The 19,056-nt window shown below is 41.6% G+C and overlaps 1 protein-coding gene across 9 annotated transcripts in view; it reads right to left on the bottom strand.

Annotated features, from left to right (window-relative positions):
- The window catches only part of FMN2 (formin 2), a 383,305-nt gene that overhangs the window by 258,019 nt on the left and 106,230 nt on the right, over window positions 1-19,056 (bottom strand). For 8 of the 9 annotated variants that reach the window (NM_001305424.2, NM_020066.5, XM_017001837.2 and 5 more), the window contains 2 exons: window positions 8,437-10,370; window positions 5,934-6,078 (listed from right to left, as the gene is read on the bottom strand). The exons of the other annotated variant lie outside the window; for it this stretch is intronic. In NM_001305424.2, the coding sequence (NP_001292353.1) occupies window positions 5,934-6,078; window positions 8,437-10,370 (2,079 nt within the window). The remainder of the gene's footprint in view (window positions 1-5,933; window positions 6,079-8,436; window positions 10,371-19,056) is intronic. 9 annotated transcript variants of the gene reach the window in all.

The following is a 19,056-nucleotide window of genomic DNA, read 5'->3' as shown; positions in this document are numbered from 1 at the left end:
ATAGCAGCCAATAATACAGTGGCAGGCAATACCTGAAGTGTGCCACTCTTGTTCTCCCAGATTCCTCAACATAGTAAGAAGCAGCCTTTTATTGGCAATTACTGCTTCCCGTAAGAACACTTACAGGTATTACGTTATGTACTCCCATATAAGAGCAGCTGAATGATGAATACTTCTTTTCCTGTCGTTATTACACATTTTTATAACTTTTTTTTTTTTTGAGACGGAGTCTCGCTCTGTTGCCCAGGCTGGAGTGTAGTGGCGCGATCTCGGCTCACTGCAACCTCCGCCTCCCGGGTTCAAGCAATTCTCCTGCCTCAGCCTCCTGAGTAGCTGGGATTACAGGCATCCACCACTACTCCCGGCTAATTTTTTTGTATTTTTAGTAGAGACAGGGTTTCACCATGTTGTCAGGCTGGTCTCAAACTCCTGACCTCGAACATTTTTAAAAAGTCTTTTTTAGGGATTAGGTCATCAAGCACAGCGGAAAGACTAAACATGATACCAAATATCTAATCCTTAAAGTTAGTATCTGTAATAAATGTGAATTCTAACAAATCCTTTTATTACCTGCCCTTATAATAAGTAGCACATTTAACTATGTATTTTTTTTCTGATCAGATTTCCAGAGGCTAAAGTCCAACAAATATTTAACTGTCATACTTTTTCTCCCATTCTCTGGGCAAAGAATTTTAATCTGATAGATTACATAGAAGAAACCCACAAAGAGATTCATTGTGTTGCATTAAATGGTTAGACCAATGTCAAGTTATGTACTTTTTAAAAAATATCAGATTCTTCTTTTACACTCTTGCTGACTTCTATGTGCAAATTTACATTCTGGGTATCATGTTCCTTTACAGATCCTTTAAACATGATTAGACATTATTTACCTATGGCTTATTTTACAAAGATGATTCTTTTTTTTACCATGGGATAAATGAAATGTAGCATCATTTCACATTTGGCAAGGTTTAACCACAATGGCTGTCTGCCTCTAACCACTATTTATATGCCACACAAGCAAGTGGCTCTTACTTTTACTGCTTACGGAAGCTTATGTATTTAAATCTCATACCACTCAAACTTTTATTTAACTGTGCAAATGTCATGTTGGTGAAACCACAGTTTATATACTTGTCAAAATCTGCTAAAATATTGGCCAGGCGCAGTGGTTCATGCCTGTAATCCCAGCACTTTGGGAGGCCAAGGTAGACGGATCACCTGAGGTCAGGAGTTTGAGACCAGCCTGATCAACATGGCGAAACCACGTCTCTACTAAAAATACAAAAATTAGCTGGTCACGGTGGCCCGCACCTGTAATCCCAGCTACTTGGGAGGCTGAGGCAGGAGAATCGCTTGAACCCGGGAGGGGGAGGTTGCAGTGAGCCAAGATCATGCCACTGCACACCAACTTGGGCAACAGAGTGAGACTCCATTTAAAAAAAAGAAAGAAAGAAATCTGCTAAAACATGGTAAAGGTTTTAAAAGTGTCTCACATACAATTTTATTTATAACCACAGTCATTTAAATACCAAACATATATGAAAAACCAATACACATTCAAATTCTTTTTTTAAAGTATTTAATTCATTTTTAAAAGTATATATTCTGGTCTCCATATAAAATACTGTACTTACACTCATATAAAATATTCCACATCCATAATTATCACTTAATTAGGAAGAGCAGAGGCTTTGAAGCCAGAAGGCTGGAGTCTGAACCCGAGCTCAGCCCCTTACCAGCTTGGAAACATTGAATTCCGCTATATCTCTGTACCTGAGGTTTCTGTACTATGAACTGAGGCTAACGGTGCCTGTCTCACAGGGGTAGGAGCATTATATGAGCTGATATAAGTGCTAAGAACAGTAACTGGTACATGGTAAATAATGGACACAATATGACTTGTGGTTTCCATGGTTATTATTGCTGTAATAATTACTACTATTACTACTACTACTGCACTTACCAAAATATATTTCCTTATGACATTATTTGATAGAAGATTAACCAAAAACTATGCAACCCTTATTATCAAAATCACTCCCAAGTAAATTCTCTCACTTTCCTGCTAATGAGTGCGGATGAATTTTTTTTTCCCTGAGAGAGGGTCTTAATCTGTCACCCTGGCTGGAGTGCAGTGGTACTCTCACAACTCACTGCAGCCTCAACCTCCCTGGGCTCAGATGATCTTCCCATCTCAGCTTCCCAAGTAGCTGGGATGACAGACATGCACCACTGCACCCAGCTAATTTTTATATTTTTTATAGATTCAGAATTTCCCCATGTTCCCCAGGCTGGTCTCGAAATCCTGGGCTCAAGCCATCCACCTGCCTTGGCCTCCCAAAGTGCTAGGATTACAGGTGTGAGCCACCATACCCAGTGGGTTAAACTTTTTAATCCTTATTTGATCACCAAAGATCCTGAGGTGACTTAGGGTCATTACAAACATTAAAAATCACTGAACTACCCTGGAATTAGGGAGGAGATTGGACTAAACACTTACTGGCTCTAAAGCCTTCCTTAAAATTGGGCAAGTGTGAATGTGTGTGAATGCTAAAGCATGAACATCATAAGAGATCACTTTTTCTTTTTCTTTTTCTTTTTTTTTTTTTTTTGAGATGGAGTCTCACTCTATTGCCCAGGCTGGAGTGCAGTGGTGCGATCTCGGCTCACTGCAACCTCTGCTTCCCGGGTTCACGCCATTCTCCTGCCTCAGCCTCCCGAGTAGCTGAGACTACGGGCACCTGCTGCCACGCCCGGCTAATTTTTTGTATTTTTAGTAGAGACGGGGTTTCTACATGTTAGCCAGGATGGTCTCCATCTCCTGACCTCGTGATCCGCCCGCCTCGGCCTCTGAAAGTGCTGGGATTACAGGCGTGAGCCACCACACCCGGCCAAGATCACTTTTTCTATTTTCCTCTTTATTCCTTAAGAGACGGGGTTCTACATCAGACAATTCTAATGTCAAAGTGTCACACTCATTTGGTTATGAAAAACTATGTCAAACTATATTCTGATAAACTTCTATGTACCTTCTCAGCTAATCTTTTGTGTAATGCTTCAAAGTAAAGAAGGAGAAATGAAGAAATCATCATAGAACAAACTTAAATCCATGCTCCATGAGAAAAGTATAAAATGCTTTGTCTTAAGCTCTTTGGAGAAAAAAGGATTTGGAAATACAAGATATTCTTCATTTCTATCAGTCTGAGCATCCAGAGAAAATAACCCTCTTTCTCCTTATGCCAAACGGCAATGTGCCCAGCTGAGGAATCTTCTATTATCACACTGAAAACGTCTCTGCCATGACGGTAAAAACAGCACAGGCACCTCGTTAAACACCAGTGCATTCAACCACAGTCTTACTTTCAAGGAGAACAGAGATCACAGAAAAATTATTTGGCTATTTTTAAATATTTAAACAAAAACAGAACTTCCAGCTTCCATTGTATATAAGAAGAATTGCTTGAAATACCTCCATAAACATATGCCACGGCATTAAAGGCTATTAATTTTACTGGAAATGAATCATAAGGTACCAAAATGTCTGCACATACAATCAGTGCACATTTCCCATAAAAAGGGGAACAATTTGCATGCATCCTGAAAATACACTTTCCTTAAACAAAATTTTAAATGTCTCAAGTAAATGGAATGGACAGATTTTTCTTCCAAATACAATGAAGTTAAATAAAACTATGTTTCTTCAGCAATCCATCACTTTGTAGTGATTTTTCTCTAACATACATTTAAAAAAATCTTTTGTCCCTCCAAAAACAGATCTGAAGTGCAGAGCTCAGCACCAAGACCCAGGCCAAGGAGTTGCTGAATAGGTTTATCTGGAGTCATGATGGAGACTGTCCCATAAACCCTGTTTGAAGCTGAAGGTCAACAGTAGCGTCACTATCAATAAACACAAATGAGGATATTGGCAAAGTCTCTTACCGACAATTTATGAAATGCCTTAATGACAGAATGAGGAGATTATCTTAAGATGATGATGCTCAACACAGAGGCACTGTTTATATGCTGAGACCCCTTCATGCCAACTAGTTTAATGTGAAGTTTGATGATTTACATGTAAATCATATTTCAGTAAGCTAAAACTTAATACTATGTCAAACAGAGAATGAAATCCTACAGTCTTGGGCAACCTGGGAGACTTCTTCCTTATCTGTATTCCCTTAGCCAAAAAAACAAACAAACAAAAACAAACAAACAAAAAAACACAAAAAAACAAAAGGGGTGCTGGAAGTAAGGAGAGCATGGCTCAATTTTCTGAGTATTTGGTCCCTGGACGAGAGAGGCTCCATGCCACATCTACACGTTTGTCATGTGACAGTTCCGGCTGCCTGACTCTTCTCAATGTAAGCCCCACCCATATTCCTCGCCCAGACAGATTTTACATCTCTGACACAACCCAAAAGAGGAGATACGATGATTCAGCCTCAGTGTACTATATGCAAATATACCAAGGATTTTTTAAATATTTATCTCTGCCAGAGAAAATATGATTTTCCATTACTCCTTTTAACATTGTCACCCTGGACTTACTGATTATTATGAAATGAGTAACCTTCTGGTTTTTAATCACTACTGGACATAGCCACTGATATTTATAAAGTCTTCATCCCTTAGTCAGCTGATTAATTTAATAAATATTTATTGAGTGCCTACAATGTGCCAGGTGCCATCTCATTTACTATGTTACTGACCTGAGGTCACCAGCAACCAGTGATAATGCAACAAGCATTTCTAAAAGAATTCAACTGCATAATGTTTGGGTTTACATTATTCTCAGATTAATAAAATGCCTGGGGTGAGCCTGCTCACCCAGCCAACTACGGGTCACAGGGGTCTAGCTGTCCCATTGAAATCCATCTTCTCCTGGCTGGATTTGGCAATGTCCATCTAATGAAAATTGTCTGCTCTGAAATAAATATCAATGGAAACAACTCCAGGTCATGTGCCTAGCTATTACTTCCAGGTCAGAGGCACAAATTCGAGGAATCACCCCATTAGCTGGAACTCCTATGGGGCTACTGGGCAAGGAGAACACTGGGGATATCAGCCTCATTTTTCCCTCTTTGCTTCCCAAGACTGAGCTGCTTGCCATTCCTTTGCTTCCAAGACCTCTTTCCTGCCACCCTGCAAAAGTTAAGAAATGTAGCCACTCTCCATTTCAGGGTAAAGACGGGCACCATTAGCAATTCTTTCTATCTGGAGTTCATTATCATGAGGTTTTACTCTACTTTCCAAATGACACCCCTGAGAAATTTATAACAATATCCCTTTATGACAAGTCCAATGGATATATCAGTAGAAAAAAATTGCTTGGAAATGTTTTTCTTGAAATGCACCAATCTTTCTTTTTATGACTCAAAAATGTCACAGGTTAGATCAAAGGATCTAACATAAAATAGAGAGGTTAGAAATGGATACAAGATTTCTCTTCCACATTTCAAGTACAGTGTGACTGTTTAACTGGATTCTAATGGCATCCACTTCAGATATAATGCAACAAAATACCAAACACATTATCAGTTACTAAGGATTGGATTTCTTGATTGTTTTCCTTTGCCCACTCTTTCCTTTCTTTCCATCCATAGGAGCACTCAGATGGACATAAATCAAATGAAAATTTATTTCTAGGCAACTAATTCTGGAAAGAAACAATGGCGGATATTTTGGAAATATGTATTATGATGTTACAAATAAAAGTTGGGACATTATCACTGGATGGAGATAATTATGTGTTGTTCTATTTGGGCTAGTCTTACTTAACCACATGTTCTAAAGTTCTAACCCTTGCTGTCTGCCTAAGATCCATGGAGGTTTACACAGCCCAAAAACTATTTCAAAGTTTTCTCTAATGACAGTTCACACTTATGCCAGAAACACTGTCCAATTTCATAAAGCACAAAAATACTCACTTGTTTAGCCTTCGTCTTTGAGATAGTATCAGAGATAGGTTTCTTTCTCTCCTTTACAGCAGTTTTAGAAAATAATTCCTCAAATTCATGACAATCTATGGATGGCTCTTCAATTTTTTCCCAAATAAGTGAAGTACTGGAGTCTCTAAAATTAAGCAAAAGAACAATAAAACAGCCATCAAACTGAACTTACATCACAGCAAGCATAAATAGAAAGGAAGAAGGGGAGGGAGGAAGGCCAGCAGGAGGGAAGGAGGGAAAAAGAAGAGAGATAAGAAGGAAAAAATATTCTTTTTCTTTAAGACCACCATTTGTTTGATCAACTTAATGGGAAAGTTGAAATACCATCCATGAATGAAATTTTTCCCCAGAAATAATTTCCAGGAAGCCTCAGTCATCAGGCCACTGTATAAAAATGTAAAAAGAAAACTTATCTCAGTGTGGGCTAGGGAGGCAAGAAATGTCTGATCTCTCAAAATCCCAACTTGACTTAACAACTTTGCAGATTATTCATGGGTTAAAAAATACATATTTACAGGATGGCATCCTCTCCCTCCTACTGCCTCCCATCACCCCATTGTTATTTGTCTTCTCAGTGACTGCAGATTCGTGTAGTACCACCTAAAAAGGGTAAACACATCTTTTTAAAAAGCAAACCAACAACAAAACACAAGAACTTCCCCTGTCATATCTAGAGAAAATGACTTTGGGGCACAGTTTAAAATGAATCACCCACATACATAAGTGGCGTGGTAACAACACAGAAGATGAACTGAAAAATTAAAAGTCATCAGAATATACAGATTCTTGCCCCCGATATGGTGTAGTGAGTAGAAAAATCCATATAAGAAATGAAAACGAACCTGGCAAATACCCTGTTTCTAAATGCATGCCACATCACACAAAGGAAATTCACACAAAGGAAATTCAAGGAATCATGAAACATTAGAACAAGGAAGCCCCAGTGAGGTTTACAGTGTGCGTTTTTCCCTGCCACCTACACATTCCACAGCCAAGTATCACAGCATTGTCTCAATGACTAGGCAACACGGGCTATAGATGACACATAAATGTATAAAGTACCACCAGAATACCTGGTGGAAAGTATTCTTTTATGATGATCAGTCCCAGCTATGATTGTATGACTTTGTGCTGTGTTGCCAATGAGGGACAGAAGTGCCATGAAATTTTCAAAACTAAATTATTTCACACTTGGGGTATGGATATGTGTATTTTTGTGAAGCATGTTTCTGAAGAAAGCCCACAAGATGGGACTGTAAACCAGGGCTGTGCATTTTATTTATTTATTTATTTACTTACTTACTTATTTTTGAGACGGACTCTCGCTCTGTCGCCCAGGCTGGAGTGCAGTGGCGCGATCTCGGCTCACTGCAAGCTCCGCCTCCCGGGTTCATGCCATTCTCCTGCCTCAGCCTCCCGAGTAGCTGGAACTACCGGCGCCCGCCACCTCGCCCGGCTAATTTTTTGTATTTTTAGTAGAGACGAGGTTTCACCGTGTTAGCCAGGATGGTCTCAATCTCCTGACCTTGTGATCCACCCGCCTCGGCCTCCCAAAGTGCTGGGATGACAGGCGTGAGCCACCGCACCCGGACAGGGCTGTGCATTTTAAAGTGTGCACTAAATCATGCTCCAGAGTCAGTTTACCTAAGAATTTGATTTGCGGCCGTGCCCGGTGGCTCACGCCTGTCATCCCAGCATTTTGGGAAGCCGAGGCGGGCGGATCACGAGGTCAGGAGATGGGAAACCATCCTGGCTAACACGGTGAAACCCCGTCTCTACTGAAAATACAAAAAAAAATTAACCGGGCGTGGTGGCGGGCGCCTGTAGTCCCAGCTACTCGGGAGGCTGAGGCAGGAGAATGGGGTGAACCCGGGAGGCGGAGCTTGCAGTGGGCCGAGGCTGCACCGCTGCACTCCAGCCTGGGTGACAGAGCGAGACTCCGTCCCCCCTCCAAAAAAAAAAAAAAGGATTTAAGAATTTGATTTACATTTTTAAGCTGTTTGTCAGAAATGGAAACTTGAAGTAGTAAAAGCAAAGAGTAGATTCTTACATGGAAAATAATTTCGCTACAAATGTCTCTGCTTACCTGCCCTCATTCATTTTCCAAAGGGCATATAAGCATACTTTCACTGGAATTTAGGCATAAATAAGTAGCAGTCTTACAACTAGATAACAGAGCATGTATTTTAAGAAAAATATATCCCTCAATCTTTAAGAGATATATCAATAACTACATAGATGGGTATACCTACATCTTATACATTGATACGTATATGTATTTATTTTACATCTTTGGTACTTCTGGAGAAAAGCTTAAAGCTTTAAATAGCAAACTGCTGCACTATATATTGATGTAAAAATCTAGACGAGTTTTAGAGTTGTGCTTAAAAATACATTCAACAGTAATTTTCCCGAGTTTGAAGGTAAACACTTCCCTAATACTGACACACACTGTGCAAAGACGAGCTCACTTTCATGTTACCTTTTACTATGTAGTTGAATCCTGGTCCAGTAAAGAGGCTTCATTGGTCGACAAGGCTCTATGGGCTGCTTCCTACTCCCTTTGTCCTGATTCATCCCTAATCCAAACAAGCCACTTGGCAATGGAGGAGGAAGAAATCCACACACCTGTGGGGTTGGTAAAGTGCTACTCCCAACTTGTGGGAGGAGTGGAGGGCCTGATACAGGAAGCAGAGGGGGCGGTGGGATTCCTGTCCCAGGTGGAGGGAGTGGGGGAGCTGGAGCAGGTGGAATCCCCATACCTGGCAAGGGAGGAGGTGGGGGAATCCCAGCACCAGGTAGAGGGGGCGGAGGAGGTATTCCCACTCCAGGTAGAGGGGGCGGAGGAGGTATTCCCACTCCAGGTAGAGGGGGCGGAGGGGGTATGCCCGCTCCGGGTAGAGGGGGAGGTGGGGGTATGCCCGCTCCGGGAAGTGGGGGCGGAGGGGGTATGCCCACTCTGGGTAGAGGGGGTGGAGGAGGTATGCCCGCTCCGGGAAGAGGGGGAGGAGGGGGTATGCCCGCTCCGGGTAGAGGGGGAGGAGGGGGTATGCCCGCTCCGGGTAGAGGGGGCGGAGGAGGTATGCCCACTCCGGGTAGAGGGGGCGGAGGGGGTATGCCCGCTCCGGGTAGAGGGGGAGGTGGGGGTATGCCCGCTCCGGGAAGTGGGGGCGGAGGGGGTATGCCCGCTCCGGGTAGAGGGGGTGGAGGAGGTATGCCCGCTCCGGGAAGAGGGGGAGGAGGGGGTATGCCCGCTCCGGGAAGTGGGGGCGGAGGGGGTATGCCCGCTCCGGGAAGTGGGGGCGGAGGGGGTATGCCCGCTCCGGGTAGAGGGGGTGGAGGAGGTATGCCCGCTCCGGGAAGAGGGGGAGGAGGGGGTATGCCCGCTCCGGGAAGTGGGGGCGGAGGGGGTATGCCCGCTCCGGGAAGTGGGGGAGGAGGGGGTATGCCCGCTCCGGGTAGAGGGGGTGGAGGAGGTATTCCTGCTCCGGGAAGAGGGGGAGGAAGGGGTATGCCTGCCCCGGGAAGAGGGGGCGGAGGGGGTATTGCCGCTCCGGGTAGAGGGGGCGGAGGAGGTATTCCCGCTCCGGGTAGAGGGGGCAGAGGGAGTATGCCTGCTCCGGGTAGAGGCGGCGGAGGAGGTATGCCCGCTCCGGGAAGAGGAGGGGGAGGGGGTGGCAGCATTTCTGTACCCTGCAGAGGAGGAGGTTGGGGAATGGCTGTACTGGGCAGAGTAGGCACTGTCATGCCAGGGAGAGGGGGAGGTGGGGGAGGCACCATGCCCAGGCCAGGCATGGAGCTGGAGGACTCTGTGCAAGGCAGAGGTGGTGGAGATGGGATGTTACAGCTGTTTTTAAAGGCAGAGGAAACAGAGTGTTCGTGGCTGGTTTGAAACTCGGTAGAAATAGAATGGGGCGGCTGTGACCCAGGCTGTCCTTGCCCAGCAGACCACAGAAGGGATGGAGGTGGTGGAGGCTGTGAGATGCTCTGTGTGGGCTGATGGCTGTCGAGCTGGACTGATATTCGCCTTGGAGACACAATCAAAGAAATCTCTGAACAGAACTTTGTCTGAGGTCCACTTTCAGCCCCAGGGGGGCATGGAGGACGCCCTGGCAGCCCATCCACAGGAGGCAGTGTCAGCACCCCGCCCTCTTCCGTGGGGGAAGTCTGTATCGATTTCGCCTCTAAAATCCTATGATGCCGTACTTCCTTTTCTTCTAACCTGAGAGCTTCGAGACAGACATCGCCTGAGGCTGTCACTCCATTCTCAAGCCCTTGATGACCACTGGCCACCTCTGTGTCCAGGGCAGGATACTGCCTCTCTAGTTCAGCTATTTTGGTTCTCAGATCCTCAATAGTCTGTTCCAGCTGCTGAATTACAGTGGCCTGTCCCTCAGACTTCATGTCAACAACTTCCTGAAGGGCGACAAGGACAGACACAGTTAGTTATGAAATAAGGAAAAATGCAAATAGCAAAAAATTAAGCAAAATTATATCTGTTTGTTGTCATACTTCCAGAAGGACTCCTTGACAGAAAGATGGTATTAATATTTCTATGTGTCCCCTGGCTTGCACCCTGAGATTTCAAAGTGGTTAACACACGTGACTTACCACAGAATCTTAAGTCCACATCTGTCTCATTTTCAAATGATACCATTGAGGACAAATAGACCACTGAGAACAGGGAAGAAAGCTCTGAGTGATAAACCAGTTTATTTCTAAGATAGCCTTCTTTCCAGCCTAGGAACACTGGTTTTTAGGATGTTCCCTGAAAACATTTTAAAGGTAATCCCGAATTTTAAAGGTAGTCACTGCTTTTTAAAAGTGATCACTGAATGAGTGTTCAATAATAATATATAAAATATTTTTGATATCCATATGGGCAAGACAAATGCATTATGAGCATGTGCCATACCGCTTATATCATGTTTACTAGAACTTTAATATTTTACCTAGGGTATTTCAGAAAGTGATAACTGACAGTTCTCCACAATTTATAAAGACGGCTGATGGCCAGACATGGTGGTTCACACCTGTAATCCCAGCACTTTGGGAGGCTGAGGTGGGAGGATCACTTGAGATCAGGAGTTCAAGACCAGCCTGAGCAACATAGCAAGACTGCATCTCTCCTAAAAATTAAAAAAATTAGCTGAGCACGGTGGCACACGCCTGTAGTCCCAGCTACTTGGGAGGCTGAGGCGGAAGGACAGCTTGAGCCCTGGAGTTTGAGGTTGCAGCAATCTATGATCACAGGCCACTGCACTGCACTCCCGCCTGGGAAACAGAGTGAGACACTGTCTCAAAAAAAAAAAAAAAAAAAAAAGATGGCTGATAACAACTGGCCAACATATGGGGCACTCTGACATATAAGTGGTGTCTTCCTTTCCTAAAACTCACAATCAACCAGGAACCCTTCAAGAAAAAAAAAACGTTTTGAGTAGAAAGAAGGGCATTGGCCGGGCGTGGTGGCTCATGCCTGTAATCCCAGCACTTTGGGAGGCCGAGGCGGGTGGATCACGAGGTCAGGAGATCGAGGCAATCCTGGCTAACACAGTGAAACCCCGTCTCTACTAAAAATACAAAAAATTAGCCGGGCGTGGTGGCGGGTGCCTGTAGTCCCAGCTACTCAGGAGGCTGAGGCAGGAGAATGGCATGAACCTGGGAGGCGGAGCTTGCAGTGAGCTGAGATTGCGCCACTGCACTCCAGCCTGGGTGACAGAGCGAGACTCCGTCTCAAAAAAAAAAAAAAAAAAAAAAAGGAAAGAGCATTGCCTTCTTAAGGGTAAATTATTTAATATGAATAACAGATGAAAAGAGAGGAAGAAGGAATTGATAGAGAGAAAGGAAGACAAACAAACATAGGAAGACAACTCCCACTTTTGTGGAAACTGCAGTGTCAATCGTACTTTAATTACTGCTCATACAGATGTGGATTTGCTCACTAAAGGCTGGAATAAAAGGGAAAGAGAGGATGAGAGACTTCTTGTGTTGAGAACTATTTCTTCAGTGTTCCAGGGTTTCCTGCAACACTACAGAGTGTTCCAGAGTGTTCCAGATGATCCCCATAGGCCACGGTAAACAGCCATAGGTCCACATGCACACGCTTCTTACCCACCTGGGAGGCTGACACTTATACTCCAGACTTGATTTTTACATATTGTGGAAGAATAATTAACAGGTAATATAAAGATAATATTAAGTATAAAACTAAACTCTTACCCTGCTTGCTAAGGTTAAACTCTGGATCCAAGAAATATCTCCACAAAGTGAAAAGCAAACATCTTCTTTATTAAATCTGAACAGACATCCAACCCATTTGCAGTGGAAAAAATGCAGATGGACAAGACAGAAAGGGTATTTACTACAAATGAGGCATTTTTGGGTGCTATGATAGATGTGATAAAAATCTTTAGGGCACCTTTTTCCCCCCATCTCTATGAAGGAAATGTAAACTTTTTTTTTTGCGACGGAGTTTCGCTCTTGTCGCCCAGGCTGGAGTGCAATAGCGTGATCTGAGCTCACTGCAACCTCTGCCTCGCGGGTTCATGCAATTCTACTGCCTCAGCCTCCTGCGTAGCTGGGGCTACAGGCATGTGCCACCACGCCCGGCTAATTTTTGTATTTTTAGTAAAGACAGGGTTTCAGCACGTTGGCCAGGCTGGCCTCAAACTCCTGACCTCAGGTGATCCACGCACCTCGGCCTCCCAAAGTGCTGGGATTACAGGCGTGAGCCACCGCACATGGTCTAGAAATGTAAACTTAATAGTCCTTCCTTTTTTCCACAACAGAGTCTTGCTACATTGCCCAGGCTGGCCTCGAACTCCTGGGCTTAAGCCACCCTCCCAGCTCAGCAACCCAAGTAGCTAGGACTATAGGCACACACCACTGCACCCTGCTAAATTTAGTAGTCTTAATCCTAACCTCTGTTACTTCTTCCCTGGAAACTATATCTTTTGCTACAACATTTAACTTGCTGAAGGTCAATCATGATGTTTGCTGACAGCTGAAGACAACCAGTAATTTAGAAACACAACCCCTACAAAGGGTTGATTTCCTTAATTTTCTATTGTTAAAAAAAAAAGAAGTAGCCCTTACTATGAAAGGAAACTGAAAAATAATTGACTTTTCAACTAATAAAGGAATGTAACACACTTTCATAGGCAAGATTTTTGAGAATTTATATGTTATTCAGGCATATATACACACACATACACACTCTCCCCTTAAAAGCTCATTATTTTTCACCAACATCTACACAAAAGACTAAAGTATTTGTAATGCACAGTTTGTATTTTGTGTATTTTGTGTTATGTATTTTGTGGGGAAAAACTATATTGCCATGTAGTTTTTAAGTAGCCCATAGTGGGAAAAAAAATAACCTTTTTTTATTATTTAATTTTATTTTAAGTCCTGGGATACATGTGCAGGACATGCAGGTTTGTTCCATAGGTCAACGTGGGCCATGGTGGTTTGCTGCACCCATCAACCCATCACCTAGGTATTATGCCCAGCATGCATTAGCTGCTTATCCTGATGCTCTCCCTCCCCATACTCCTCCTAAAAGGCCCCAGTGTGCCTTGTTCCCCACCTGTGTCTATGTGTTCTCACTGTTCAGCTTCCACTTATAAGTGAGAACATGTGGTGTTTGATTTTCTGTTCCTGTGTTAGTTTGCTGAGGATAACGGCTTCCAGCTCCATCCATGTCGCTGCAAAGGACATGATCGCATTCCTTTTTGTGTCTGCATAGTATTCCATGGTGTATATATCCACATTTTCCTTATCCAGTTTATCATTGATGGGCAACTGGGTTGACTCCACGTCTTTGCTATTATGACTAGTGCTGCAATGAACATATGTGTGAATGTATCTTTGTAACAGAATGATGTATACTCCTTTGGGTACATATCCAGTAATGGGGTTGCTGGGTCAAATGCTATTTCTGTTCCTAGGTCTAGGAATTGCCACACTGTCTTTCACAATGGAACATAACCATTTTTAACATCCTGTATGGCCACTATACATAATTCCATTCTCCAATTGTATGATGATAGTGAGTACAAGAAGAAACCAGAAGCCAAAAAACCAGCACCCAAATTTATCTTAATAAGGAGTACAATTAGTATTTCTGACTGGATTAGTAAAATGCACAGATCATTTTCGTTTTTCCAGCATACTCTTAAAGGTGACCTTTAATCATTAAAAGGTATTTCTTGAGTTATGCTGGTACATAACTAGGGTTTTCTTTTTTCATGAACTATGATTATATAAAAAGGTTAGTTGATAAATAGCATGTAAGAAGTAGATTCTGGAGGAGTTTTCCAAAACTCAGTTTGTAAATGTTATTGCCTATGCCAGCTCTGTTTCATCATAAATTTGAATATAATGAAAATAGCATAAAATTAAAGGATATTATTATATAAACACATACACACACAGAGGAAAAAGTGATTCTGATGAGGCACAGTGGTCATGCCTGTAATCCCAGCACTTTCCGAGGCTGAAGTGGGAGGATCACTTGAAGCCAGGAGTTCGAGACCAGCATGGGCAACATAACAAGACTTCATCTCAACAAAAATGGAAAATAAATAGCCAGGTGTGGTGGTGTGTGCCTGTAGTCCTAGCTACTTGAGAGGCTGAGACTGGAGGAGCACTTGAGCCCAGGAGTCCAGCCTGGGAGACAGAGTGAGACTCTGCCTCTAAAAATATAAAAAACAACAATAGTAATAAAAAGAAAATGATCCTAATAATGGCCTAGCATAGTAACAATTATTACACCTCTTTCTACATGGATTTCTGCCCCACATCACAGGCCAGCTAGTTCCACATGGCACCCAAGTTAGTGGTAACAGAGGTCATAATACTAGTGACTGTGAAGATTCCTGGGATTTTTTTTAACCTTTCTAATTTACATAGCCAGTCAAAAATGTAACTGCATCATTACACATGATACCCAGTACCAGAAAAAGATCTCTTAAGTAGAATCCACTTAAATTTTCTTTTGGTTACCTTGGATTGGCTCTCGCAATCTCCATCCTCCCCTTCCCGTTTACAGAAATACAAAGAAAAACTACATTTGCAGACTCCCTTGCAGCTAGATTCATCCAATTAGATGCAACCACACAAAGATTTAGAAAGTCGAATGAGGTAAGGATCATATTCCCGTGTCTGGACTGCTCTGTTAGCAGTTAAGGTCTGAAAACAAAGCTTCTCTACAACAACATTCAAATGTCCACTCTACAAATTGCAATGGTGGCCTCAAAAGTTTTAACTCCCCTGATAATCCAGTTGTATTTGATTTCTTTGAAAAGTGTCACCTTAGACACAGATGCTTCAAACCTTCCAAACTTCCCATAAAACACCTGATTTTATAGTAAACACTTCTGTTTCATGCACCTAGCATAGTTTCCAGTTCCTGCAAAAGGTCTGACTGATATACCCAGGTACCAATACTTCAGAATAAATTATGAAAAAAAGATTCACTTTTTTTCCATAAAAAAGAAATTAAAAATTAAGTAAGGGTGTCATTTTAATTTAAAACAATTTTTATCATAATGGAAAGATGCACAAATTATTAAAATTAAAATTATTTTCAGTGCTAATTTTTAACAAAAATATATGGTGCCATGATATATGACATCATATCACCTTTTATGAAAAGATGGTCCTTTTTTGTAGTATTTGAGAACCTCATTAATTTCCCCAAAGGCCTCTGACAATCCTAATATGCAAATTCATTTTTTAAATACATCTGTCACATCATCATTCTTACTGTATTAGCTAACTCCACGAGGTGCTCACAAATCAATTACAGTTCATGCAATTCAAGTTCTCCACCATCACCTTCTCTGACTTCAAGAAACCCTCCAACTTCTGCATGATTAACAAGTTCACTTTATGCTGCATTTGTGTCATGTGGTTTAAAACATCCAAAAATCATTGATAAACTGACCCTGCCAAACTAAAGGATGGTGGATAATAACAGATGGTCTGTGTTAAAAGGAGAGGGATTTGGGGTTGGATCTACTTTTATAAATGATCAATTTATTAGTGCGTAACAGAACAATTTCTGTTATGTATTTTATTTATTTTTTAAACAACTTGATAATTGAGGGTACTTAGATAATAAAAAGTTGAGAAAATAAAGAATTGATATACCCCATAAGCTTCAAAGGTTTTCAAATGTAAGATACAATAAGAACCAGAGCTAACAAATGGCAGAGGAAGTAGTGATAAGAGGACAAAATTCCAAATCTGAATCTTTAATAAATATAGCAATGCTAGCCTTGTGGTGCCAGGAAGGTGGAAGAGTCAAAAAATTCATAAAGATGATAACAGACTGCAAAGATGAAAGACTAAAATTTTTATAAACAGAACTTTTTTGTACAGATCATTTTGATAGAAGAGAACATGGAAAAAGAGTTGGGGGCAACAAACTATCTGCTTCTTACATTATTCCCACTGTAGAGAGAACAAAAAACCAACCTGCTAGAATCTTCATTCTCCCTATGACCTATCCTTACCTGCACCCTAAAATCCCGACCGGCCCTGTATTAATGTTACAATCCCCCTTTTCTATTCCACACAAGCAGAGCAACTAAGCGCATCTCAAACCTTAACTGACTAGCCTGTAAAATAAGGCCACCAATCCACTACTACAGAGTAGCCAAATGTATGTAGGATTTGGGGCTCTGAATTTAGCTGAGAGTCTTCAAAGAATCTTATCTGGCCTTCCTTATCCAGGGCTATCAGTCAAGGGCCGGCTGGCTCTCAGAGAGTACCAGTTCAGAAAGTCAGCTGAGATATTTCCTGTAAAGCGCTCTAGAGAAAGCTCCATTGCTTGTCAGAAGTAAGAGCTGATTTCTAATATAGGTTGTTTTCTTTCAGGGATTTATAAAGAAATTTACATGGCAGATATTAGTAATTATCAGGAAAAAGGGCCATTTTCTTGCCATTTAAGCAAACACCCTACTCTCAGGACCCACACAAAGTGGAATGAAGCTCTGGGGGGCCCACCCTCCCACACAGCCTAGATTTAATCTCGAAGAGACTGCCAGGCGCTCTGTTGTCCGTGGAAAGCCCTCCAGTTAGGAGCCTGTTCCTCTGTGTCCAGCGCCTGGAACTTAATCTTGTCTCTTCAGGGTGCAGCTAGATAGAGCCTATCAGATTCTCAAAGGACTTGACAATGAAGAGATACACTTTTCATTATCTTTAGCCTTCTACAGTTTTCAGAAAGACTCTCACTCAGCATTTCCAGTGATTGTGCAACAGTTTACGGAAAGCTAATGGCTTTTCCTATCAAAAAATTTAAATACATTTTGTTGTAAAAAAAGAAAAAGAGAAAAGTAAGCTTGGCAATTTTGTACAGAACCTATATAATGGATGCATCCTTATAAATGGAGGAAGGTTAAATCTATTTTTAGTTCGTCAATACAATAATTAATATGCTTTATAGATTACCAATTTTGAGATTATTTGTACTTTAAAATACTGTTTCAAAACCCTAAATCATAAGTGGTAGAGTCTGCCATCTACGTTGGCTCAATAATTATATACAGTAAGTCAGCCAAAATTCCTCCATTCCTGTATAATCTTATATGTGGGTGGTGATGGTTAGCTCTTATAAATTGTTTGAACACTTGCGTATCACATAATACAAGTTTCCATTAAAAAATAAAATGTTCACCAAAAATATTTTTCCAAACAGAAGATTATCTGATTCCCAGAAAAAGAAAACATTACTGTAACATTAAGGTTACAACTGTCAAAAAAGAAGCCAAGATACACTCAAGTAAAGCTTTTGCTGAAAAGTTAATTTGCTCATCTTTGAAACTTTATTATGTTTATTATGTAAGCAGGATACTTTTAAAGCCTAGAATTTAAAAGCTGCTTATTGGTAAGTTAACGCTGTAATAATTTATTTTATAAATTTTAACATGAGATATATAATTAATTTTCTACCATATTTAGATTTTTCAAATTCTGCTAAATTCTAAAGCAACATTACTGGCAGGTTAGGATACCTCTAGACATCTGTAAAATAGGAATTCTGTTCTTCACAGAAGCATATAAATTCTCTATTTGTCATATTGTTTTTTGTTTGTTTGTTTTTTGAGACGGAGTCTCCCTCTGTCACCCAGGCTGGAGTCCAATGGCACGGTCTCGGCTCATTGCAACCTCTGCCTCCTGGGTTCAAGCGATTCTCCCTCATCAGCCTCCCGAGTAGCTGGGACTACAGGCACAAGCCACCATGCCGGGCTAATTTTTGTATTTTTAGTAGAGATGGGGTTTCACTATGTTGGCCAGGCTGGTCTCAAACTCCTGACATCGTGATACGCCCACCTCGGCCTCCCAAAGTGCTGGGATTACAGGTGTGAGCCACCGCGCCAGGCTGTCATGTTCTAAATTAAGAAACATCCTAGTTTTGGAACAACCAATGGCATTCCAGTTTATAATATGTTAACATCTGCTACACATGATCCCATAGGGAAAGAGATCGAGGTGTTATATAGATATAATTTTGCACAAAACTAAAATACAAGCAATTTTAAGTTTGAAAGGGAAATTTCAAGAAAGAATATTAGAACAGATGGCAAATGGTAAATAACTTGCCTAGGGCTTTTTAAAATAGAACATATTATGGGAAAGAGCCTCACACAGGGAGCTGAGATGGCATCTCTAGAATCCTTAGTATAAAATACATGATGAATTATGGAAATTATAATATTTCTGAACTGGAATGGACATGGCAAATCTCTTTCCATTCCTTCACGGATGACTGAGAAATGTGATATGGAAGGAAGAGGCGTACGTTAGAAATCATACTTGGCTGTATTACTTTTAACATCTCTTTAGAATGGGAGCTGATACGATGGGAAGGTTAAAGTAATGATCTTTAGTGAACAAACACAGTGGAAGCAATAAACATTTAGGGAAAAAAGGGAGATAAACAGCAAAAAGAACCAGCCTTTTTGGTTCCTGCTCACATATTGAGAAGTTTCTTTCTACTTATTTGAGCTAGAGTTGCAGGAGGTACTGGACCATACTTTAAAGCAATCTATCCCTTAATTGTCTCAAGTAATGCAAGGAAGGAAAGCACTATTTT

The sequence above is a fragment of the Homo sapiens genome, chromosome 1 (genome assembly GCF_000001405.40).
Source record: "Homo sapiens chromosome 1, GRCh38.p14 Primary Assembly".
Classification (NCBI taxonomy): Eukaryota; Metazoa; Chordata; class Mammalia; order Primates; family Hominidae; genus Homo; species Homo sapiens.
The sequence above is the reverse complement of the archived record's forward strand: the minus strand, read 5'-3'. Positions and strand labels throughout refer to the sequence as shown.